Source organism: Homo sapiens, chromosome 1, assembly GCF_000001405.40.
Source record: "Homo sapiens chromosome 1, GRCh38.p14 Primary Assembly".
NCBI lineage: Eukaryota > Metazoa > Chordata > Mammalia > Primates > Hominidae > Homo > Homo sapiens.
In genome coordinates, this window is record NC_000001.11 from 201,861,851 (window position 1) to 201,886,459 (window position 24,609).

The window sequence follows — 24,609 nt, forward strand, 5'->3', positions numbered from 1 at the left end:
TTACTGTGGCATAGAGATAGTTAGAATTGCTTCAGCCTAAGAGATGAATTAGGTAATGCAAGGAGGTGAATATGTTGGCTTGCAATATGAACAAGGCAGAGAGCTGGGAGAGTAAGATGTAAGTTGCTAAGGAGGGATGTGTACTTGAGTTTGGAAACCATAAAGGGAAATCATAGGTAATGCTAGAGTCACTGATCTTAGGGAGCCTTGAATAACGTGATGACTAAGGTAATCTTTATTTGGTGGACTATGGAATTAATTGACAGATTTTAAATAGAAGAATGACATGATCAGAGCTATAATTTATGTTTTAAGAGTGGTCCAAGGCTGCACGCGGTGGCTCATGCCTGTAATCTCAGCACTTTGGGAGGCCAAGCCGAGTGGATTGCTTGAGTTCAGGAGTTCAAGACCAGCCTGGCCAACATGGTGAAACCCCCTCTCTACTAAAAATACAAAAATTAGCCAGGCGTGGTGGTACGCACCTGTAATCCCAGCTGCTCGGGAGGCTGAGGCAGGAGAATCGCTCGAACCCGGGAAGCAGCGGTTACAGTGAGCTGAGATTGTGCCACTACACTCCAGCCTGGGCAACAGAGCAAGACTCCATCTCAAAAAAAAAGAGTGGTCCAAAAGTGGGAATAAACTAGCAATGGAGATGGCAACTTAGAAGATTAAGTGGGCGGGTACCATGGCTCACACCTGTAATCCCAGCACTTTTGGAGGCCAAGGCAGGCAGATCACCTAAGGTCAGGAGTTTGAGACCAGCCTGACCAACATGGAGAAAGCCCATCTCTACTAAAAATACAAAATTAGCTGGGCGTGGTGGTGCATGCCTGTAATCCCAGCTACTGGGGAGGCTGAGGCAGGAGAATCACTTGAACCAGGGAGGTGGAGGTTGTGGTGAGCCGAGATCGCACTGTTGCACTCCAGCCTGGGCAACAAGAATGAAACTTCATCTCAAAAAAAAAAAAAAAAAGATTAACTAGTAGTACAGGTAAGGAATAATGAGAGCTGGGGGTGAGGACTGGGGTGGTAAAGTCTTTTTAGTCTAATAATATTCAAGATCTACTTTGCTCAGAAGAGACAAGGGAAAACTGGGAAATTGATTTTGTACCACAGGTCACACATTTGCTTTCATCATACAAGGTTATGCTTTTTCTCTCAAATGAGTTGTACATATTATGTAGCATCTATTTACTTCTAAAAAATTGAGGAATGGAGGGCCGGATGCGGTGGCTCATGCCTGTAATCCCAGCACTTTGGGAGGCCGAGGCAGACAGATCACTTGAGGTCCAGAGTTTGAGACCAGCCTGGCCAACATGGCAAAACGCCATCTCTACTAAAAATACAAAAAATTAGCCGGGCATGGTGGCAGGCGCCTGTGATCCCAACTACTCAGGAGGCTGAGGCAGGACAGTTGCTTGAACCCGGGGGACGGAGGTTGCAGTGAGCCGAGATCACGCCATCGCACTCCATCCTGGGTGACAGAGTGAGACTCCATCTCAAAAAAAAAAAATTGAGGAATGAATGTGGGAAAGAGAAAGAACAAGTAAAAGGAATTTTCATTTTCCAGCCCCTAATTGTTCTGTCTTTCTCCCAGTGTCTCCTTTCCTCTTGGGCCGGGCACTTTGGGCTGCCAGTCGGTTCACTGTTGCTATGTCCCCTGAACTGATCCAGCAGTTCCTACAGGCAACAGTTAGTGGTCTTCACGAGACACAGCCCCCATCAGTTCGAATTTCTGCAGTGAGAGCCATCTGGGGGTGAGTATGCTACCCTAGCGTGATAATTAAGGGAAAGTTGCTCAGGTTAGATATAACAAATCACAGTTTTCCAGTGTATTATGTTGCTTGGAAATCCCTGCTAATGATATCCTTCAGGGTGAATGTTGGAAGGACAGGGAAAGAAACCATGCTAGAGACATGGCTTTTGTGAGTCCAGAAGATGTCCTGTTCCTTTCTGCTCCTCTTCCTCTTTAAATTCGCTCCAGTTCTGGAATCATCTAGGCAACTCCCTTTCTCTCAATGGTGAAGAACCTGAGGTTTGGAGAGAAAAATGTTTTGCACAGGGTTGCACAATTGATGAATGATAGAAGCAGGATTAGAGTCCACATCATTTTGTTGGTTGATTATATTAGAAACCAAATCTGGGATAATGTGACCTAGAAACACTGCTTATTTTTTCCCAGTTTTACCTATCTTTTTTAAGGCTAGTGTTACTAATGGATCAAAAGTCATTTATTTATATTCCTACGCAGACTAGAAGGACCATTGTTGTTTTAAGGAATATCTTAGGCTCAAACTTAAACATCTCAACTGAATCCTATAACTACCAACACAAAATTTATTTTCCATGTGCCTGCCCTGTCTTATCTTTTGAGGCAGAGGAGTATCTTTTGAGATGCCGTGTGTTATATGTCATTAGAAAGCATTCAAGAACTGCCTGTTTTAATTAAATGGTTAATGTTATGACCATAAACACCGTCCCATCTTTTTCTGCTTCAATCTAGGTGAAGCAGATCTTTGGCTCTAAAATAATTAGAAGTATCATCTTAAGAGGCAAACTAAGTATAGCTTTTTCAGAAAGCTCTAACACCATTTTAAATGTCTGAGAAGAGAGAGCCCTAAGCTGCTTAAGGCATGAATGTTATTTTAAGGGTTTTTCTGAGTTTGTACCTGTGGTCACTGCCTGTTTAGCTTCTGACCTTAGTGAAACTTGATTTCATTGGAGAATTATCCACTTTGTGTTGTGATTTTATGGAAATGTTTGCAGCTGCAAGCTGTGAGAGGAGTTTGGTATGAATGTGAAAGTACTTTGGGTAAAATAAGCCCATTACTTTCCAGAGTGTTTTAGGTAGACAGCAGTACCTATCAGGCATACTTACCAACATTGATTCTCTCTGGGGGAGATTAGAGTACAAAGAACTTTCATTCTCTGTTATATATATAAAATATTTTGTTTGTTTGTTTGTTTCAACAAGTTTATATTACTTTTATAATCAGAAGAACTGTGAAGAAAACTTTTATTTTTAATGTTCATATCTCTTGGACCACATGGGTAGTGGTTTAATAGTTTTCTTGAGAGATGTAACAGATATCTCTGTAGGATGACAAAAGCTGTGGATATGTGGGCCAGAGAAATGGACACTCATATATGTTTACAAAATTTTATATTCATTGTCAAACACTGGATTCCTTGAAGCCTATCTGTGGATCCCGATTAAGAACTGTCCTATGAATGGATCATTAGCTATCTTTCTTTCAGTCAAGAGTTTCCCTTTGGTCATTTCCTATTTAGTTTACCAGCCAATTGCAGACTGGCTTATGTCCGTGTCACACTATTGGAACTATTTTTCTTTTTTTTTTTTTTTTTTCTTTTCTGAGACGGAGTCTTGCTGTCTGTCGCCCAGGCTGGAGTGCAGTGGCGCGATCTCGGCTCACCACAACCTCTGCCTCCTGGGTTCAAGCAATTCTCCTGCTTCAGCCTCCCCAGCAGCTGGGATTACAGGCATGTGCCACCACACCCAGCTAATTTTGTATTTTTAGTAGAGACAGGGTTTTTCCATGTTGGTCAGGCTGGTTTCAAACTCCTGACCTCGGGTGATCCGCTCGCCCCCACCTCCCAAAGTGCTGGGATTACAGACATGAGCCACCGCGCCCGGCCTGCAGCTGTCTTTTCTAATGTCACTAGTAACCTTTTAATGATCAGCATTCCACCGTTGCTTTTCTTTTTTTCTTTAGCCCCAGTTTTAATTTATTCCTTCATGTCATAGTTTATGTATCATTGCAAACTCCCTTAAATAATCTCTGAAACAAGATACTGATTGACAAATAATTATACTTGTTTCACATTTTTCAACTCAAATTTATGTCAGACTGTATTCGCCTCATTTCAATCAACAAATATTTACTGAATGTTGCTTATCATGTCCAATATGATACAGTTGTTAAAAATACATTGTCTAGGACCAGACACGGTGGCTCACACCTGTGATCCCAGCACTTTGTGGGGCCAAGGCAAGTGGATCACCTGAGGTCAGGAGTTCGCTCCATTTCCCACTTCTATTCTAAGGGTTTATAGTTACTTTGCCCCTCTAATGAACTTGAAACTGTACCGTATGGTAGATTACAGAGTTTGCATCATCTATCTACATCATGCTGGATCTTAAATGCCATGCTGAAAGAGGTTGGACTTTATTTTGGAAGTCGGTGTTTCTTTAACTTGTGTTACTCCTAACACCTAATCTTCTCTTTACCCTGAAGTCTCCAGGGGAAACTGATGTCCCACGAAAATATTATATATATATCCTGTGGCTTCCTATACTGCCTGACATAATATGACTTTCTTCTGAAGTACCTCTGTCTCAAGTTCGAAGAGAACAACTGGGCCACCTGCCTTGGCCCCCCAAAGTGCTGGGATCACAGGTGTGAGCCACCGTGCCTGGTCCTAGACAATGTATTTTTAACAATTGTATCATATTGGACATGATAAGCAACATTCAGTAAATATTTGTTGATTGAAAAGAGGCTAATACAGTAAAACTATAGAGGGAACTTTAAATCCTACAGCTAATAGGCTGATTTTGAAAGTGAAACATAAAATGTTTATATAAATTAAGCTTGTTTCAGGATGCAAAAAAAAAAAACCTCAAGAAAAAAAGCAGAAGTTTTTAAAGAAAATAGCAAAAGTCAAAGAAATAAATTACAGAACATAGAAATGGTGGTGTTGATGTTTATATAATACATCCAGAAAGAAGTAGAAACTTAAACCTAACTTTAGAATTAGCTTTATAAAGCTACACATACAAATGCTATAATATGTGAGATTGATTGGGAAAACCAGGAATTGAATTTTTTTTAATAATTCTTGCTTATCTATCTCTCTCTAGTTATTGTGACCAACTGAAAGTCTCAGAGAGTACCCACGTGCTCCAGCCCTTCCTCCCCAGCATCCTTGATGGCTTAATTCACCTAGCAGCCCAGTTCAGCTCAGAGGTCCTCAACCTGGTGATGGAGACCCTGTGCATCGTTTGTACAGTAGACCCCGAATTCACAGCAAGCATGGAAAGCAAAATCTGCCCCTTCACCATCGCCATTTTCCTAAAGTACAGTAATGGTATGCTGCCAGGGAGGATGTATTATGAGGGGCACCAAAGAAAAGGTGGTGGCTGGTGAATTTAAATGAAAGATTCCCTAGGTCTGGTCTTAGCTATGAAGCTATGGTTTTAACATCGTAAGCAAAGAATCTGGCTTTCAATTAGCAAAAAATAGAATTGTGCTGTAAATGTAGCAGCATTAAAAAATAGAGTACCTATTTCTGTAACACTTACTCTCTAGTAAGGACTTAGGGATAAAGATAATAAATAAAGGGCTAATAAGCAAGAGACATAATTCAGAACTTTGATGATAGAATAGGAAATTGGGCAAATGAAAAGCCTCCTAAAAGAAAAGGGCTAGGACTATAATTTAGAAAAGGAGATACTAAAGAAAGATATATGGAAAAGTTTATAAACAAAGGTATTCACTAGATATTTTTTACAGTAGTAAAAATTTGGAAATTATAAAAAGACATTAGTTAATTATATCCATAAAATGAAATACTGTGCAGCCATTAAAAATCAAGCTTAAAAGGAATATCTGAAACCATGGGAAAGAGCTTACATTATAATAAATGAAAAGATACTTTTCCCAAAAAATCCATAGAATATGATCCCAAGTTTTGATTTTTCTTTTAGAAAAGCATGTATGTATAGATAGGTATGTTTTAAAAAAAAATACATCAAAATGTTGAGTGTTTAGGTAGTGGAATTACAGGTGTTTTCATTATTACTTTTCTGCATTTTAAGTTTTTTTTTTCCTGTAGTGAATGTATTTATTAATACCTTATTACTAGTAAAATATTAAGGATTCTTTTTTTAAAGAGAGAGCTCCAATATTGAAGCTCAGAAAGATGTACAGGATAAGGATTATTTATATAATGTGATATACTGAACATGTTATTTGATAGCTTTTTCACTGAAAAATGTGTACTGAGGAGCTTTCCACATTGTGTTCTTGGATATATCTCATTCTTTTCAGCCATTACTAATGTTCCATAAAATGGGTATATCATAATTTACCCATTCTGTTAATGGACATCTAGGGTATTCCCAATTTTTTTCTATTACAAACAATGCTGCAGTGATCTTTTAAGGTATACTTTAATGCACATTGCCTATATTTTTCCATACTAAATAGAGGAGGATGTTTTGTTCTATAGATAAAGAAGATTGAGCTAAAGTTCCCTTTCTTCATAAGGCTCTGCTTTTTAGGAGTTTTGCCTTTTGCCCCAGAAGTAGCTTTGAGAGTTCTTCATGTCTACCGTGGCTACCCCATAGGAGATATGTATGATTTCTCTCATGCATCAAAGCCAGTGTTTTGGCAATTTTTGCAGCTTTCATGTCTTCTTAAAGTATCAGTTGGGCTTTTTTTTTTTTTTTAAGCATTTGGTTTTATAACGTAGGTTTCACAAGAATAAAGACTTTAAAGATTTTTCTCTAGAAAAAGCCACATTTTGTTTTATGAGTAGCTGTTAATGACTAGTCCCTACTTTAATGAAGCCATACAAAGTGTACCTCTTGCAGATTTAGGATCTCTCCTGTTCTTTCAGGTTATTCATGTGGCCCCACTAGGTCCCGGGTATGTGATAAGTAATCAATGCAGAAGTTGTTAACTTAGGTTAGGGCCAAACAACAGGCATCATTAAGCGAGAAGCAGATGCAGACCATCAGGCAGGGGGATTCCGTGTTGCCTTATCCACTTCAGATCCCGTCGTCGCCTCACTGGCTCAGGACATCTTCAAGGAGCTGTCCCAGATTGAAGCCTGTCAGGGCCCAATGCAAATGAGGCTGATTCCCACTCTGGTCAGCATAATGCAGGCCCCAGCAGACAAGATTCCTGCAGGGCTTTGTGCGGTAAGTGGCCGTGTGTGTGTGTGTGTGTGTGTGAGAGAGATCTACAAGTGCCACCCACAGATGCATCTAGCTGACAAGAACCTAATAGCGTTAGAGATTCATGGGGTGATTTTGCTGAGCTCTTTTGCCTGCAAGGACAGTGGGTGATTCTCTGAAGCTTTAAGAAAATGGCTTGGCTTGGCGCGGTGGCTCATGCCTATAATTGCAGCACTTTGGGAGGCCGAGGTGGGTGGATCACAAGGTCAGGAGTTCGAGACCAGCCTGGCCAATGTGGTGAAACCCTATCTCTACTAAAAATACAAAAATTAGCCGGGCATGGTGGCAGGCATCTGCAGTACCAGCTACTCAAGAGGCTGAGGCAGGAGAATCACTTGAACCCAGGAGGCAGAGGTTGCAGTGAGTGGAGATCGTGCCACTGCACTCCAGCCTGGGTGACAGAGCGAGACTGCCTCAAAAAGAAAGAAAGAAAGAAAATGGCTCTTCTTGTTCCAGAGGTACCCTCAGTGAATTGAACAGAGTGCCACCTTTACACAGTGCCACTAAGTATGTCACCTGGTTATCCAATCCACTACCATGTACTACTGCCCACCCCTATGGCTAATCAATTAGTAAGCTATTATGAGAAGGCTGAGAGTACTACCCATTTAATTATTCCTTTTATTTTGGAAACTTGCCTTTCATTAATAAGCTTTCTCTGGGTTGCTATGTAATACCCATCCAGTAAGGATCTTGGTTGTTGGGCAACCCCCACCCCAGAGGCAATTCTGACTTTTCTTTTTCTTCTCTCTTTCAGACAGCCATTGATATCCTGACAACAGTAGTACGAAATACAAAGCCTCCCCTTTCCCAGCTTCTCATCTGCCAAGCTTTCCCTGCTGTGGCACAGTGTACCCTTCACACAGATGACAATGCCACCATGCAGGTATCTGAGACATGGAGAGTAGAAGAGGGAAGATAGCTCCCCAGCCATGGGCTTATACTATGCTGAGAAATCTGACATGGTTTTATGCTTTTGAAATACGGAATTCTCAACTCCATATTTACTTAGCAGATTCAGGAAGGGTTCAGTCTGCAAAAGCCAAGCATTTCTGGTGCTTTGGAGCATGTTACAGTTTTTAAAAATATGGATACCAAGCACCCTGCCCATCTGTATTGGGTATTGCTACTGTGAAAGAGGTTACAGACATCTAGACTTGGGGCCATAAGAAAGTCTTTCTGCATATTTCTTCTAGTAATAAAGTCAGCAGAGTGATGGGCCTCTAGAGAGGGGAGACATGCCTGAATATTTTTTCTCTTTTTGTTTCTTGGGTGAATTGGTTACCTTTTCAGGTGTCTGCTACTGTGATTGATTAGAAAGGTTATAGGAACTTGCCAGTGAATATTGATCAGCTTGGAAATCCCTAGGCAACTAGTGGTTTGTGTAAGACCTATATAAAGACCTACAGTATCCCCAGTTATTCCAAGATTGTAAGCATATTTTTTTAGTACCAGAGGTAGACCTTTATGATTAAAATTCATTTTGCTTGGCCATTGTCCCTTGTGATTAAAAAAATATATATACACATTTGTGAGATAGCTGATTAGGTAAAGGGGGAATTATGTAATGCACGTCTATGTCTGTAACAGTAAATGTCTTAACTCCAGTGGTATGAGCCCACCACAAACATTATAGACTCACCGCTTTTATGAGGCATAGGCCTCTGGGAACATTTGTTTATACAGACTGAGGGCCTTCTGGCATCTGTCCCTCGATTACTAATCTTGCTTGCCACCCCTGTCTCCCCAGAATGGCGGAGAGTGCTTGCGGGCCTATGTGTCAGTGACCCTGGAACAAGTAGCCCAGTGGCATGATGAGCAGGGCCACAATGGACTGTGGTATGTGATGCAAGTGGTGAGCCAGCTCCTGGACCCCCGCACCTCAGAGTTCACTGCGGCCTTTGTGGGCCGCCTTGTTTCCACCCTCATCTCCAAGGCAGGGCGGGAACTCGGGGAGAATCTAGACCAGATTCTTCGTGCCATCCTCAGTAAGATGCAGCAGGCAGAGACGCTCAGTGTCATGCAGGTAAGAGAGCAGTGGGGAGTGGGCTTCCTACTCCCTGGCTGATAGAAATGAAAATTCGTATTTTGGTCCTGAGTTATTTTATTTTACCCTCTTACTAGCCTTGTAGGACAGTTAAGTAAAATGGGACCTGTCTGATCTGTTTGGCCTAAGAAACATGGACAAGGAAATCTCCCATGTTTTCTTGTCCTGTGGATAATACCCTCAGTGTAGACTGTATTTCTTATCTGACTGGCCAGTTCCCTCTCATCTCCTATGTCTCTGAAATTGATTTCCCTGAAGCAAATGTCCTTATTTTCTCCTAGTCCCTGATCATGGTGTTCGCTCATCTGGTGCACACTCAGCTAGAACCTCTCTTGGAGTTCCTGTGTAGCCTCCCAGGACCTACTGGCAAACCTGCTCTAGAGTTTGTGATGGCTGAGTGGACAAGCCGACAGCACCTGTTCTATGGACAGTATGAAGGCAAAGTCAGGTAGAACCTCATCTTTCTTTTCTGGGCATTCTGCCACCACTCATATTTCTTTTTTTTTTTTTTTTTTTTTTTTTTTTTTGAGACAGTCTCGCTCTGTCGCCCAGGCTGGAGTGCAGTGGCACAATCTTGGCTCACTGCAACCTCCACCTCCTAGGTTCAAGCAATTCTCCTGCTCCTGCCTCAGCCGTCCGAATATTACACACATGCACCACCATACCCAGTGAATTCTTTGTGTGTGTGTTTTTAGTAGAGAGAGGGTTTCACCATGTTGGCCAGGCTGGTCTTGAACTCCTGACCTCAAGTGATCCACCCACTTCGGCCTCCCACAGTGCTGGGATTACAGGTGTGAGCCACTGCTCCTGACACATATTTCTTTTTTTTCCTGATTTGCTCCATTGATTTTTGTTTGACATTTCAAATGGCTCTCTGTATTCCCTTTTCCCTGTCTTTCTTTATTGCTAACGCACATATGTGAATAGCTGCCATCTTGAAATCCCCAAAAGACAGTCAACACAGGTAGACTATATATTTCTGGTCTCTGTTTACAAGAGATCCCTTCTCTACCACAGACTTCACACAGCTAAGTGCTGCTAGTGGCTTATTTTCCTTTATAAGCCCAAGCCTTGGCCAGGCACAGTGGCTCACACCTATAATCCCAGCACTTTAGGAGGCTGAGGCGAGCAGATCACCGGAGGTCAGGAGTTCAAGACCAGCCTGGCAAACATGGTGAAACACTGTCTCTACTATAAATACAAAAAATAGCTGGATGTGGTTGTGGGTGCCTGTAATCCCAGCTACTCGGGAGGCTAAGGCAGGAGAATCGCTTGAACCAAGGAGGCAGATCACGCCATTGCACTTCAGCCTGGGCGACGAGCGAAATTGTCTCAGAAAAATAAAAATAAAAAACCCAACCTTCTAACCCTGGCTTCCTAACTTTTTATCCTGGATTTTTATACCACTGATTCTTATCACCTCGTTGCACCTTACAATATGGTGCAACCTTAGCTTTGTTCAAGAAGAACAGGTCACCTGTAATCCCGGCACTTTGGAAGACTGAGGTGGGCGAATTGCTTGAGACCCACCCGGGCAACATGGTGAAACCTGTGTCTACCAAAAAAATACAAAAATTAGCCAGGCACGGTGGCGCATGCCTATAGTCCCAGCTACTTGGGAGGCTGAGGTGGGAGGATCACCTGAACCCAGGGAGGTCAAGGCTGCAGTGAACCATGATCACACCACTGCACTCAGCCTGGGTGACAGAATGAGACCCTATCTCAAAAACAACAACAACAACAACAACAACAAAAAAGCACAGATCTCATTAAACCACCTCATGAACTCTAAAATCTCATTTTCAGCTGAACTCTCTTAGCTCTCCTAATTAGTTGTTAACGGAATTTTCACTATCAAATAGAGGGTCTTAGGACATAATTGCTTATCTCCTTGGAGTGAACTCGAGATGGGCGGCTGATTGACCTTTTTTTGGATCTTCCTTGCCAGCTCTGTGGCACTCTGTAAGCTGCTCCAGCATGGCATCAATGCAGATGACAAACGGCTACAGGATATCCGTGTGAAGGGAGAGGAGATCTACAGCATGGATGAGGGCATCCGCACCCGCTCTAAGTCAGCCAAAAGTGGGTGCTGCTGCGATTCTTCCAATCCTCTCCCTATACGAAGGGGCTAAGGATACCTGGGTGAAGGGAAGGAATGCACTGTGGTGTATATTTTTAAAACAATTGTTGGTGATGGGTTTGATAAAGAAGAAGCAGGAAACTTAGGTAAAAGGGATCAGAACATACGGTTTCTTCCTGTTGTGGAAAATGGACAAAAATAGGCCGGGCATGGTGGCTCACGCCTGTAATCCCAGCACTTGGTGGGAGGCCAGAGCGGATGGATCACTTGAAGTCAGGAGTTTGAGACTAGCCTGACCAACATGGTGAAATCCCGTCTTTACTAAAAATACAAAAATTAGCCAGGCATGGTGGTGGGCGCCTGTAATCCCAGCTACTTGGGAGGCTGAGGCAGGAGAATCGCTTGAACCTGGGAGGCAGAGGTTGCGGTGAGCAAAGATCGTGCCACTGCATTCCAGCCTGGACAACAAAATGAGACTCCGTCTCAAAAAAAAAAAAAAAAAAAAAATGCAGGCGTGGTGGCTCACACCTGTAATCCCAGCACTTTGGGAGGCCGAGGTGGGTGGATCGCCTGAGGCCGGGAGTTCGAGACCAGCCTGACCAACATAGAGAAACCCCGTCTCTACCAAAAATACAAAGTTAGCCAGGCATGGTGGCGCATGCCTGTAATCCCAGCTACTCGGGAGGCTGAGGCAGGAGAATCGCTTGAACCCGGGAGGTGGAGGTTGCAGTGAGCCAAGATCACGCCATTGCACTCCAGCCTGGGCAATAAGAGCAAAACTCTGTCTGAAGAAAAAAAAAAGACAAAAATAGTCTCAGGCACCAAGCATCCCAGCTTCCAGCTTCATTCAGAAGCGTGGGCACAGATAGTCAGCATGTCTTTGTTACTGAGTTGCCTTTGGCCTGTAACTCCAATGATTTGCAGGTAGGGAGTATAGAGCTGCTATCTTTAATGTAGATTTATAATTACCTCCGCTGTCTCTCAAATTCTAAGTCATTGGGACTGGAGTACTGGCTCTATACAGTTCCTTGGTTTCAGAGCTTTATTACTAACAAGACTGTATCTCCTTTAATCCCTGAACTCTCATCTCTCCCAGCTTCTGAACTGTTACAATACCAAACAATAAAGTTATTTAACTTTAAGTCACTCTTTGGAGACTGGATATAGTCAGGTACAGTGAAAGTCTGAGGGGTGGTGAACTCTGGTGAGTGGCACTGAGGAGAGGACAGGGGTACTTCCAGAAGTAAGCTCAGTGACACTCTGACTTGAAACCTTTTTCTTCCTTCCCAGACCCAGAACGCTGGACAAACATTCCTTTGCTGGTCAAGATCCTAAAGCTGATCATCAACGAGCTCTCCAACGTCATGGAGGCTAATGCCGCTCGCCAGGCCACTCCTGCAGAGTGGAGTCAAGGTGCACCAGGCCCTTACTCCCAGGAGACTTTTAGCCTGGCAGATCAAGTTACAAATTGTCAAATTATCAACTTGGTTTGTTGAGTCACTAATTGAAAAAAAAAGTTGATGGAATGGCTGCTCTGTGGCTGGCACCATGCTAGGCACTAGGCATGTAGAGCTGCTTCTCCAGTCTGCCATATGAAATCTCACAGAGGCTGGGGTGGGAGGCAGCCAGGAGGCAAGCTAACATAGCCCTTCTTTGGTTTGATTCTTCTTAAGAGCCTGTCAACACTTATATCTCCAGGTTCTTTCATTGAGACTAACCAGGAGGGTTTGGCCATTTCTGATTCTCTTTCACTGGGGACTACAAGCCACATTGCAGAAGCCTTTGGGGCCCTTCTATTCTGGCCTATTTGGATTTGGGGAGGGAAAATGCATGAATGTGCTCTAGCTCTAGCTGCTTTTCATCTCCAAGTAGATGACTCCAATGATATGTGGGAGGACCAGGAGGAGGAAGAGGAGGAGGAGGAGGATGGTTTAGCTGGCCAACTTTTATCTGACATTCTTGCTACAAGTAAATATGGTAAGCTGTTTGATAAGAGGACAGCCATGGTAAATACCTTTTCTTTGCACACTGATCCCAACAGTGGGGTACCCAAGAAAGGGGAGAGGTGGGCCCACAGGGACATTTCTTGGGCTTTTGCACCTTCCGCCTCAGTCATGTGGTAGTATATCACCACTCAGGGCCTGATCATGGGCCTTTGTCCTGACCCGCCCTGTGTTGGCTATGTCTAACAGAGGAGGATTACTACGAGGATGATGAGGAAGATGACCCTGATGCCCTGAAGGATCCTCTCTATCAGATTGATCTGCAGGTGAGGGTGTCCAGAGATATCTTGCAAATGACAATGTCCCAGGCCATGGAAACAGGAATATGGGCTCAAATCCATTTATAGCCAGGCATGGTGGCTCATGCCTGTAATCCCAACACTTTGGGAGGTCAAGGCGGGAGGATTGCTTAAGCCCAGGAGTTCAAGACCAGTCTGAGCAATGCAGGGACACCCTGTCTCTACAAATAATTTAAAAATTATCTGGGCATAGTGGCACACCCCCGTGGTCCCAGCTACTCGGGAGGCTGAGGTGGGAGGATCGCTTGAGGCCAAGAGGTCAAGGCTGCAGTGAGCTGTGATCATACCACTGCACTCGAGCCTGGGCGACAAAGCAAGACCCTGTGTTCAAAAAAAAAAAAAAATCCATTTATAATTTAACATGGGAGCCTCATGGGAAAGAGTTCCTGTCTTGTTGAGTGGTCCAGGGTTTTGGGTGGGCTGGAACTTTGCACTTGATGTGTTGTAATTCATCTTCTAGAGGCTATGTTGTGAAGGTCCTTGGGGTGATACAGCCTTGGAAAAATGTTGTTTCCCTGTGGATTACCTAAACTAGATCCAAGAACATGAAAGACCATCCCTCAGGGAGCTGGCATTTGTCTAAAAACCAGCATTCCCTGTGCCATTTGATTGTGGTTCTTGCTCCACTGCAAATGGGTGACTTGCAATGTCTCACTAATGCCACTCTTGCTCTTTCCTCCAGGCATATCTCACAGATTTCCTCTGCCAGTTTGCTCAGCAGCCCTGCTACATAATGTTTTCAGGCCACCTTAATGACAATGAGAGGCGAGTTCTACAGACCATCGGCATCTAAAAAGGGGAGCCTTTCTACATTTGCTCCTTCTGGGCCAGCCGCAAACCATTTTGCAGCCCTCACTGGCCTTGAGATGCACTTTCTTCTCAACCTAAAGTGGCATCTTGACCCTTGGCCCTTGGCCTCGGCAGTGACACTGATGACAATTCAGACCAGGCTCACCGGTGCCGTCACTTAGGAATGCTGGAACAAAGGACATTTCTCAAAGTTCCCCTGAAGACATGCCATCTCTAGAACCTTTTTTCTCCCCGACTCTACCCCCACCTCTGTTCCTAGAGCCCTCTGCTGGCGAGTCCAGAAACATTATTGCCCAGAAGGATTATGTGTTTATGGATTATTTTGCCCCGCCTCAGGAGCGCAGGAAGTCACTACCATTTATATTCTAAAACAGACCTATCTATGTTCATAGGACTTCTGATGTGTTCAGATAGGAATCCTCATGAGAGATCATTATGCTTTGTGCCCTGGACCACTGCTGCTCTGGGTTCTCAGGAGGAACAGGCAAGAGCAGCTTCATTCTAAGCCTTTCCAGTGACCTCAGCCTTGCTTCTCTTCTACAACACTAAGGCTCCTCTGTCAGAGGAGGTCGTCTTGTTTTTGCTTCATTGCATGACATAACCCTTCCCCTCAAGCTGTTCCTATATATACATGCACACACAAAATAAGCCAGACAGATGGCAATTTGATCTTCCTTTTTTAGAAAAAAAAAAAAAAATGGGGAAAAGGGATTTTTTTTAAATCCACCTGACCCAACTATATTTAATATGCCTCTCCCACACATTACCACAGAGTCTGATATTCAAAGGTTATCCCCTTTCCCTCAGGAAGCCTCTAAAGTGCTTAAGTTGTAGCCCTCAAATTTGCAACATGTATTTTTCTAGGACAGTAAAGTAATCTTTACAAATGAATTTAGTTGCATGGTATAAGGTGTCTCAGCACCTGTTTGCCTTCTATTCCCTTTAGAAGGTAAGTAAAAGTAATGGGGGAAAGGATTAGGTGGAGCCTGTCTAAACATTCTAGTGTGTCTTGGCAAACATAGCCTGAAATGATTCTTAAAGAACTGGCATTGTTTAATCAAATATTTTTAAGGGAGATTCCTTAATTGGGAAGTTTAGTCTGTTTGGGGTTCAAAGAGTAAATGAGGATTAGAAAATCATGGAGAGAGGCTGGGCGCGGTGGCTAACGCCTGTAATCCTAGCACTTTGGGAGGCTGAGATGGGCGGATCACTTGAGATCAGGAGTTTGAGGCTAGCCTGGCCAACACAGTGAAACCTGCATTTCTACTAAAAATACAAAAATTAGCTGGGCATGGTGGTGCATGCCTGTAATCCCAGTTAACTTGAGATGCTGAGGCAGGAGAATCGCTTGAACTTGGGAAGCAGAGGTTGCAGTGAACCGATATCACACCGTTGCATTCCAAGGCAAGACTCAATCACACACACACACACACACACACACAAATCATGGGGAGAAAGATGAAACCTGTGTTCCCCTTTTTTTGGTAGTGCCCACATCTGGTGCCCCATTTTTAATAACCACAGGATATTTCTTTAGATTGATATTCTCACAAAGAAGAAATAGAATATAGGCTGGGCGTGGTGTGTCACACCTGTAATCCCAGCACTTACGGAGGCCGAAGCCAGCGGATCACCAGAGGTCAGGAGTTCGAGACCAGCCTGACCAACATGATGAAACCCTGTCTCTACTAAAAATACAAAAATTAGCCAGGCATGGTGGCATGCACTTGTAATCCCAGCTACTCGGGAGGCTGAGACAGGAGAATCGCTTGAACCTGGGAGGCAGAGGTTGCAGTAAGCCAAGATCGCACCATTGCACTACAGCCTGGGCAACAAGAGGAGCGAAACTCTGTCTCAAAAAAAAAAAAGAGAAAGAATATAAAGTGAATCTGAATCTCCACTCAAGGGGATGGCCCCAAGGATATTGTAGCTGGTAATTTCTTCATGCCACTAGGTGTCCCCAGTGTTCAACCTCCATGACTGAGATTGGAAGAAGTAGAGTTAAAAGTTTTTACTACCTTTGAGAAGCCTGCGGGCATGTTCACAGTCGTCCCATGCCAGCCAGGTTCTGAGGCTAACTGCTTGTGCCCCTGCTGCTTCACATGGCATTGTGGGAGTTGCTGATACTGGGGAAATGATGGCAGATCTGACCAAGTGGTGCTGAGAAAACCACCCTCGGCCTTGCAGACTCCATAGTTTATCTCAAGGCAGTGCCAGTCGGATTTGGTGCTAAAGGCATAAGGCCAAGTCAGCCTCTGATATTGGCACAAAAGAATGGTCTCATGCCAGTAGCATTGAACTGCTGAGCTTGGGAAGGCTTAAGGCTCCCACACACAGACTGAGAATGATGGGGGTCCCTCTGCGTCTGCTAATTAGACAAACATTCTATATCTAGTGCCAAAAGTGGTCCTAAATCCTTTGGCAAGGGTCCTTTCTGCTCTCATGCTGATTTGGGGGAGGACTGGGCATCCTGCCTCAGGAGAACTTGAGTCCTGAGGAAAGGGCCCTAGTAACACTTAAGGGCTACCCCTGGCTAACAGATACTCGGCTGTGGGTGAGAGCAGAAGGTCTTGGACCCCTCGATGTGCAGGTACTTAATTGTGTTTCCAGTGCATTTTCATATACATTATCCCATTTAACCTTTATAACAGGTTCACAGAGTGGATATTCCCATTCTGTTGATGAGAAAAAGAGTGGAGAGACTGTGTCCAGTGTCAGCAGGAAGAAAAAAGATCTGTTGGAGGCCAGTACATGTTGACAGAAACTCTAGACCATATTTTGTCTCCTGTCTTTGGCCAAAGAGAACTAGCTTCAGTCTGAAAAGGGCAGGGCTAAGTGGTTACAAGGAACTAAAAAGTTCAAGGTAAGACAAATGAGGTAAAAATAAAAAAGAGCACTTAGCTGCTCTGAGACATTTTAGTCTCCTGACTGGTAAACAGCAGCTGGGGCACCAAGGGGCTCCCAGGAGTTTGTCGAGCTTTTATTGGAGTGAACTGAAAGGAAAATGGAAGGAATGCTATAAGACTGAAAAGAAGTTAAAGCCCTAGGAAGGAAGCTGATAACACAAGTTACAGACGTATATGTGACATTGATTTGGGAGAATGAACCTACAACAAATGACCCAAAAGCACCTAAATAAGAGTGACGAGAGTTTAACAGACATTCATTATGGACTTCAGAGAAAATGATGCTAAACTGGTCTTAGAATCTTCTTTAATTTTGTTAACTAGGTAAATAATCTGGACATTTTAGTCAAAGCATTAGACAGACAGAGAAGTTGGTAACTGACCACTAACTAACAAACTATAAATTCACCCATTGTGGGTTGACCTGGTAAGTTCCCCCAGGGCTGTGTCCTTGGCCCCTCCTTTGATATTAGTGACAGATGACTTTTTTTATGCCTTACCCATTCCACAAAAGAATTTGAAGCCATTTACACAAGAGATAGTACTAGTAAATTAGGAGTGCTGATCAAATTTTTAGATAATAAGAAACCCTTAGGAAGGATGACAATTTAGAATCCAAATTTAGGATCCAAACAAATACCATTACAAACTATAAAAATGAGCAGAATCTAAATGTAACATTTCAATAAATGCAGATTGATAATAACATCTGTGCAGAGTTGAGGACTATAGAGTACTGTGCTGTCACTAACAGTATTGTGTGCTACTAAGAGTTTAATGGCTGGGTGTGGTGGCTCACACCTGTAATCCCAACACTTTGGGAGGCCTAGGTGGGTAAATCAGCTGAGATCAGGAGTTCGAGACCAGCCTGGCCAATGTGGTGAAACCCCGCCTCTACTAAAAATAAAAAAATTAGCTGGGCATGGTGGCACGTGCCTGTAATCCCAGCTACTCGGGAGGCTGAGGCGGGAGAATCACTTGAACCTGGGAGACAGAGGTTGCAGTGAGTCGAGATCACACCATTGCACTCCAGCCTGGGCAACAGAGCAAGATTCTGTCTCAAAAAATAAAGTTTATTATGCCAGGAGGGCCAGGTGTGGTGCCACACCCATGTAATCCCAGCACTTTAGGAGGCTGAGGAGGGCAGATCACTTAAGCCCAAGAGTTTGAGACCAGTCTGGGCAATGTGGCAATACCTTGTCTCTTAAAATTTAAAATAAAAAAAAAGTTTATTATGCCAGGAACTGTTAATGTGTCCAAAAAAACTCCAGTGTGGTTCTAGGATGAGATAATAAAAACAGGTTGTCTAGGGTAGTGTGGAAGGTCCTTTCAGTCTTCCTGTGCCTATCAGTGATCCTCATTGCCATGTTCCCTTCTGGTGCTCAACCGGAGGCTCCCTGACAGATGAGTCCTCTGCCAGAGGAAGGCTAAGATGTAGAGGACAAATCGTGTCAAGGAAAAGAAGCTTGAAGGAGCTAAGAATGCTTAGCTTAGAGAAGACAAGAGGAAACAGGACATGGCTTTGGGAAGTTCAAGGATGGTCCAGTGAAATACATACTATACTTTTGCACCCCAGCTAAGCTGACCCATGATCAGTAAGTAGGAAATAAAAGGCCAATTTCTGGCTACTCTTGCCCCCAACCCCATTTCAGTGAACTATGAACCTCTATTAGATATGCAAGGCCGGTGCTAAATGCTGGAGGGCTTTGGCCCTTTCCCTCAAGGAGCTAGTCTAGTAGGGGGTCAGAAATACAGATGGGCCTGAACATAATGATGGTTTGACTTCCAGTTTTTCAACTTTAGGATTGTGCAAAAGCTATACACATTCGGTAGAAACAGTACTTCAAGTATCCATACAATCAGTACAGTATTCAATAAATTACATGAGACATTCAACACTTTATTATAAAATAGGCTTTGTGTTAGATGAGTTTGCCCAACTGTAAGCTAATGTAAGTGATCTGAGTAGGTTTAAGGTAGCCTAGGTGTATTAAATGCATTTTTCACTTAACGGTATTTTCAACTTTTGTTGGGTTTATTGGGATGTAGCCCCATTATAAGCTGAAAAGCATCTGTAGTATAATAAATGTGGGGAGTGCTGTGAGAGAAATAAGTGTACTGGGTTTAGTTCCCACTGCCCAAAAAAGGAACTGGCTAATGGTAACCTGGGGGAGGAAGTCGGGTAAGTTGCATGGAGAAGGCAACCCTTGAACACTTGCAAGGAGCTAACAATACCTGCTTCTGGAGTATTTAAACGCCAGTGGGTATGCTAAATACTTTTACCTCAGACCACCTACTAACCTTACAAAGTAGTCCACTTTGCTCACCCAGTTTTACAGATTGATGAAACTGAAGCAGACAGATATTGTTAACCTATCAAAGGTCACCCTGCAAGTGTGTGATTATAGTCCAAGCAGCTTGTACTTGTTGCCTATTTGTTTTGCCTTTCCTGTGCATTTGCCAGGCAGATGAGAGTGGGGTAAGACATTGCAGAGAAAAAGTAAGAAAAGGCCGTCATGAAACAATTTCATTTTCAGACCTTATAAGCACGTTACAAGTACTGATATTTATGCTTAAGTTCACGGGAGTCCTGGCCAGAAATAAAGCTGGAAGGACAAGTGGGGGGCAGATTGTGAAGGATCCTTCAAGACCTGCTTCCTCTAGAGAATGGGAGACTACCCAAGATAACTAAACAGGGAAGTGATCAGGTTTTGTGTCTTAGAAAAGTGTTGCAGTGTTGATGCAAATGTGACTAGAAGGGTGACTTGGAACCTGGATTGAAGGGGTGGGAGATGGGAGAAAGGAATGCAGTCTGGCAGCAGCTACAGCAGTCCAGGTGGGAAAACCCAGAGCCTGAACTAAGGTTGTAACTAGAGGGGATAGGGTGGAAGAGCTGGATTAGAGATGTTGACAAGATAAAGTCAGTAGGACTTAAAGACTGACAAGTAAGGATTTTCCAAAAGTGAGAGCTGTGGAATGAATTGTCTTAAAATGTTGCAGTGAGTTCCTCCTCATCAATCCAAGTGCTCGATCAGAGGCTAGACCTTTAGTTAGCAGTCACGGGAAAATTCCCCATTCTCACGGGGATTTAGACTAGGTCTTAACCATACTTTACCAAGATTCCAGTAGCAAAGCACCCAAAAGTAATCGCAATAAAATTCCAATTTTTGTAGGCCGGGCATAGTGGCTCACACCTGTAATCCCAGCACTTTGGGAGGCCGAGGCAGGCGGACCACGACATCAAGAGTTCAAGAGCAGCCTGGCCAGCATGGTGAAACCCCGTCTCTACTAAAAATACAAAAAAATTAGCTGGGCATGGTGGCGCATGCCTATAATCCTAGCTACTCAGGCAGCTGAAGCAGGAGAATTGCTTGAACCCGGGAGGCAGAGGTTGCAGTGAGCCAAGATCATGCCACTACACTCCAGCCTGGGCGACAGAGCGACACTCTGCCTCAAAAAAAAAAAAAAACAAAAAAAAAAACAAGTTTTGTGAATTTAAGTTTCCCTAATGGATGGTACAGGTCAACATTTGCCATCTAATGACACTTACATTCCAGTTTTTTCCTTTTTTGAGTAACTGGGAAAAGGGTGGCATTACTGCTGGCTTCCTAAAATTGAAAAGTATACTAGGGTTTTTAAACCTGTGTAGAATACATGATATGGTAGCAAATGTGCTGTAGGAAGAAAAGCAATGAGGAACTACTGGCCTGACTAGGAGGCCTAGAAGTCCCTCCCAGGCTTGAGTTGTTCTGACTTGGCATGATTACATAGCTGCGGCAAGTGACGTTTCCTTCAAGCCTTGGTTCCCTCATCTGTAAAATAGGGAACTAATACCTACCTCACAGGATTGTAGTTAGAATTAAGGATGACTTCATTAAAGCACCTCTAGTGGTGGAAGATGTCCCATCCTATCCCCCACCCATAGCTGGGAGCTATGTTTGGCTCATTCTTCCTGACTCACTGGATTACACTGTGACTCAGTTCAATTTCACACATGCTGCTGCTAAATTAGGGTCTTGGTGAGCCTTTGGGAGGACAGCTCTGAGGAATGAATTGTAGCACTGCAGCCCTGCCTGAGGAACATGATAGAAACAGGTGGTAGGCCCAGCTCTTGCCTTCCACCTACTAAGCAGTTTTTCTGTGGTTAGCTGTGTGACATAAACTATCGGTGTATTAATTTGCTTTCACTAGATTCCCCCCCCCCCAACAACTTAGTCCAAGAACATACCTGAATTCTTTGCATTTCCTTGCCTTAGTTGCTTTTGTAGGGTGGACAGCAGGACTGCATGAGAATAGCTGTGCTTCTGGACCCTATGGTGAAAGCTCTAGTGAACTGCAATTAGGCCCAGGGTCCCGGAGGAAGAAGGGGAGAGAAAAAGGGGGGTAGTTTTCCAAAAGATAAGTAGGGGACAAAAAAGTCCACGGGGCCTATGAGCGGTGAGACTCCTGCCCTGATTGTGGCAAAGCACCTGGAGATGATAGAACTTCCTAGGGAAAAGGCTGCATGGAGTCCCCAGGGATGCTGGGCCCTGGTCACCAAGGCTCCCTGGGAAGGTCTCTTGTACCTGGGGCACACAGACCAACACTTCTGAATTTGCAAGCTTAAGAGCATGTATGAGCAGAACCTGTGCAGACCAAGGCTTAGAGGGCTCACCTCAATGTTTTGCACTGTGTGAGACCCCAGGACCTTTTCGTGATTCTGGAGAGGGGAACAAACCATAATAACAACAAACCAGGTAGCAGGATAGAGACTCATTCTCATCTATTTTGGTTAAAAGAAAATAAATGTATTTCTTCCACACCTGATTTTGTGATTGCAAATTCATAACTAATATCCCTCGTCAGCTCCGCTGACTCATCCCTGCCACAGGGAGGTTCACAGCAAGAGCACAGAAACTAGGGCCAGTGCCCGGTTGTGTGACCTTGAGTAAGTTCTTTTTCCCTTGAACAGGGAGAGAGACACAATGGATCAGAGTGTCTCTGCCAGTTCTAACTTGGGGATTCTAGTGGGTTGAACCGAACGGTAGTCCGTTTCCAAAAGAGGAAGCCAAGACCAGAGGGGGAGTGGTTCCTTCAAGTTTGCAGAACCAGTAAGTGGCAGAGCAGGACTCATATCTAGTTAGTGGTTCAGAGCATGGGCTCCGGAGCTAGACTGCCTGGATTTGAACCCTGGCTTTGCCACTTGCCTGTTGGGTGACTTTGGACAAGCTGCTTAAATTATGTCTCCATTTCCTAATCCACAGAACAAGTGTAATACTAGTTATCTGTTTCATGGAGTGATTGTGAGGATTAAATAAAGTTAATATAACACAAAGCACTTCGTAGTGCTGCCTCATAGTAAGTGTTAATGTTACCTATTATTAGTCTGATCCCAAGTCTAATGCAGTTGTCACCACCTAAACCTGCCTTTACAGAGCTGGCCTTTCTGAGAAACCCTGTGCCTCTGTAGATTCAACACTCCCATCTGTGCAGATGGCTAACAGCTAGGCTGAAAACAGAAACCTTAGGTTGGAAAGGGTCAGCTGGAGGGCTGAGGCCCATGGCCCCAAATCCTCCCCAGGAGAGAGAGTAGGTTCAGAAAGGAGAGAGCTATAAACAGAGCCTTCCTCCCTTGCCCTCAGATCCCAAAATAACACTTGTCTACCGCCATCCTGCCCAACTGGCAGAGTGGCAGGCTGAGTAAGGTGCCATTTAAAGATAACCTGGCCCTCACCATCTGCCCCACTGGCTGGGCTGGGCTCCTGAGGCCAGGCCTTGGCTGCCTGGGACTGCTGCTGCTCCCACAGCCACCCAGAGTGTGCCTGAGTAGGGGGCTGCTCACAGCTGCCATCCAAGCCAGCCTGGCTACACCCTCTTCTTTCCTGAGGCCCAGGCTGTCCTGGGCTCTCTACAAACAAGCAGAAGCCTGGCGTTCTGGGAGAGGCAATCCTACAAAGGCATTGGTAGAAAGTCCTTCTGGAGAAGAGTGCTCCATATATATATATATAAATGTATAGGATACTTGTGCAACTTTGTTACATGGAAGAGTACACCTTCTTACCAGTAGCTTGGCAGCAGTGAGGCTCATCCTCACTGTCCTTCACCCACCCTCCACTTGCTAGTCCCTCCCACCAAGAGGACAAACAGGAGACAGTCTTTCATTTACAGCAAGAAAGATTAAAGCTGGATGCCAAGAAAAGCATTCTGATTTAAGAGAGATGTTTGTTTATTCCGGGGCAGTGAGAGCCAAAAGACCTGGTTCCCCAACTAAGCCATGAGACTTGGCCAAGTCCTGGTGCTGTCCTAGGCCTTACTCTTCCTAGCTGTGGACTGCAAGGAGAATTAATGTGTCCAAGACCCTCCAGGAAGGATCTGACATTAAATCAGAGTAAAGAACTCAGGGTCCTATGGAGTGGGGGAATGTATAATTACCTGTCTGCAGGAGTTGGGTTGCCAGAGGCTGGGCAAGGAGGAATAGAAAAAAGGAGGGCAGAGTAATGTAGAGTGCATTCCTGGAGAGCACTGACTGACCAGAGGCAGGAATTAGGAAAGGAATGGAGTTTCCCTTATCTTGGAATGGTTCAACAAACCACTGGCCAGACAAAAGTGGAGGCAGGAGCCTCCACGGCCAAACAGCATGGGTGGGGTAGGACCAGGGTGGGATGGAGCCTCCAGGGCTCATGGCCCAGGAAAGTAAGGAAGGCCTCAGGAATGCCTGTGTTAGTCTGCTCTGATAGAGGAGCATGGAAGAGGTTGGGAGGAGCCCTGGGCTGGTCATTCAGCCCAGGAGTGAGGTGACTCAGCAGAGCACTCCTACCACAGCCCCTAGCCAAGCCCAAACTGGGTCACAGGCAGGGTCCCAGCCCTTCCCCTCCTCCTGCCTTTCCCCACTTCAGATATCCCTGGCTACCTTCTCACCACATGCAGAGGCCTGCTAGAGATAAGGGCTGGGCATCAAAGTTTCCCTGAATACATGCTTTTTATGCCAGGCATAGCACTGAACATTTTAGACTTGTTTTTTTGTTTGTTTGAGACGGAGTTTCGCTCTTGTTGCCCAGGCTGGAATGCAATGGCGATTCCCGGGTTCAAGCCTCCCGGGTTCAAGTGATTCTCCTGCCTCAGCCTCCCGAGCAGCTAGGATTACAGTCATGTGCCACCACACCCAGCTAATTTTGTATTTTTAGTAGAGACGGGGTTTCTACATGTTGATCAGGCTGGTCTCCAACTCCCGACCTCAGGTGATCTGCCTGCCTTGGCCTCCCAAAGTGTTGGGATTACAAGCGTGAGCCACCGTGCCTGGCCCTTTAGACTTGTTTAAAGAGAAGCAGGTGGTGAAGCTGAAGGGCCTGGGCTTTGAAGCCACAAAAGTCCAACTGCAAATCCCAGCAGTGTGAGCTGGGGGAATTGAAGTTCTTCCAACTTCAGTTTCCTCATCTGTACAATGGGATGAGCTCATCAGCAATGTTCGCTGCTGGTGGTATCATTACCATCATATTCCAGACA

The 24,609-nt window shown here is 44.4% G+C and overlaps 1 protein-coding gene and 1 non-coding gene across 2 annotated transcripts in view, besides 3 other annotated features; both read left to right on the plus strand.

Moving 5' to 3' along the window:
- IPO9 (importin 9) overlaps window positions 1-22,441 on the plus strand; it is a 55,135-nt gene extending 32,694 nt beyond the window's left edge. The window contains exons 14-24 of the mRNA NM_018085.5: window positions 1,598-1,757; window positions 4,883-5,109; window positions 6,798-6,946; window positions 7,740-7,868; window positions 8,733-9,008; window positions 9,311-9,477; window positions 10,978-11,111; window positions 12,400-12,522; window positions 12,982-13,086; window positions 13,302-13,378; window positions 14,094-22,441. Of these exons, the coding sequence (NP_060555.2) occupies window positions 1,598-1,757; window positions 4,883-5,109; window positions 6,798-6,946; window positions 7,740-7,868; window positions 8,733-9,008; window positions 9,311-9,477; window positions 10,978-11,111; window positions 12,400-12,522; window positions 12,982-13,086; window positions 13,302-13,378; window positions 14,094-14,204 (1,658 nt within the window). The 3' untranslated portion in view covers window positions 14,205-22,441. The remainder of the gene's footprint in view (window positions 1-1,597; window positions 1,758-4,882; window positions 5,110-6,797; window positions 6,947-7,739; window positions 7,869-8,732; window positions 9,009-9,310; window positions 9,478-10,977; window positions 11,112-12,399; window positions 12,523-12,981; window positions 13,087-13,301; window positions 13,379-14,093) is intronic.
- MIR6739 (microRNA 6739) lies at window positions 1,523-1,597 on the plus strand. The gene has a single exon (NR_106797.1). It is a non-coding gene; the product is annotated as a microRNA 6739 (primary transcript).
- Window positions 6,780-6,995: a silencer, noted in NCBI's record as "fragment chr1:201837758-201837973 (GRCh37/hg19 assembly coordinates)". NCBI's record gives its function as "represses an EF-1alpha promoter that drives an FKBP-Casp9 reporter gene in an ReSE screen in K562 erythroleukemia cells {active_cell/tissue: K562}" and the evidence as "EXISTENCE:reporter gene assay evidence [ECO:0000049][PMID:32094911]".
- Window positions 20,457-20,956: an enhancer, noted in NCBI's record as "H3K4me1 hESC enhancer chr1:201851435-201851934 (GRCh37/hg19 assembly coordinates)". NCBI's record gives its function as "activates a minimal SCP1, AML or CMV promoter by ChIP-STARR-seq in primed H9 embryonic stem cells {active_cell/tissue: H9 hESC(primed)}" and the evidence as "EXISTENCE:reporter gene assay evidence [ECO:0000049][PMID:30033119]".
- Window positions 22,057-22,126: an enhancer, noted in NCBI's record as "active region_2323". NCBI's record gives its function as "activates an Ori minimal core promoter by ATAC-STARR-seq in GM12878 lymphoblastoid cells {active_cell/tissue: GM12878}" and the evidence as "EXISTENCE:reporter gene assay evidence [ECO:0000049][PMID:35858748]".
- Window positions 22,442-24,609: the final 2,168 nt, after the last annotated feature.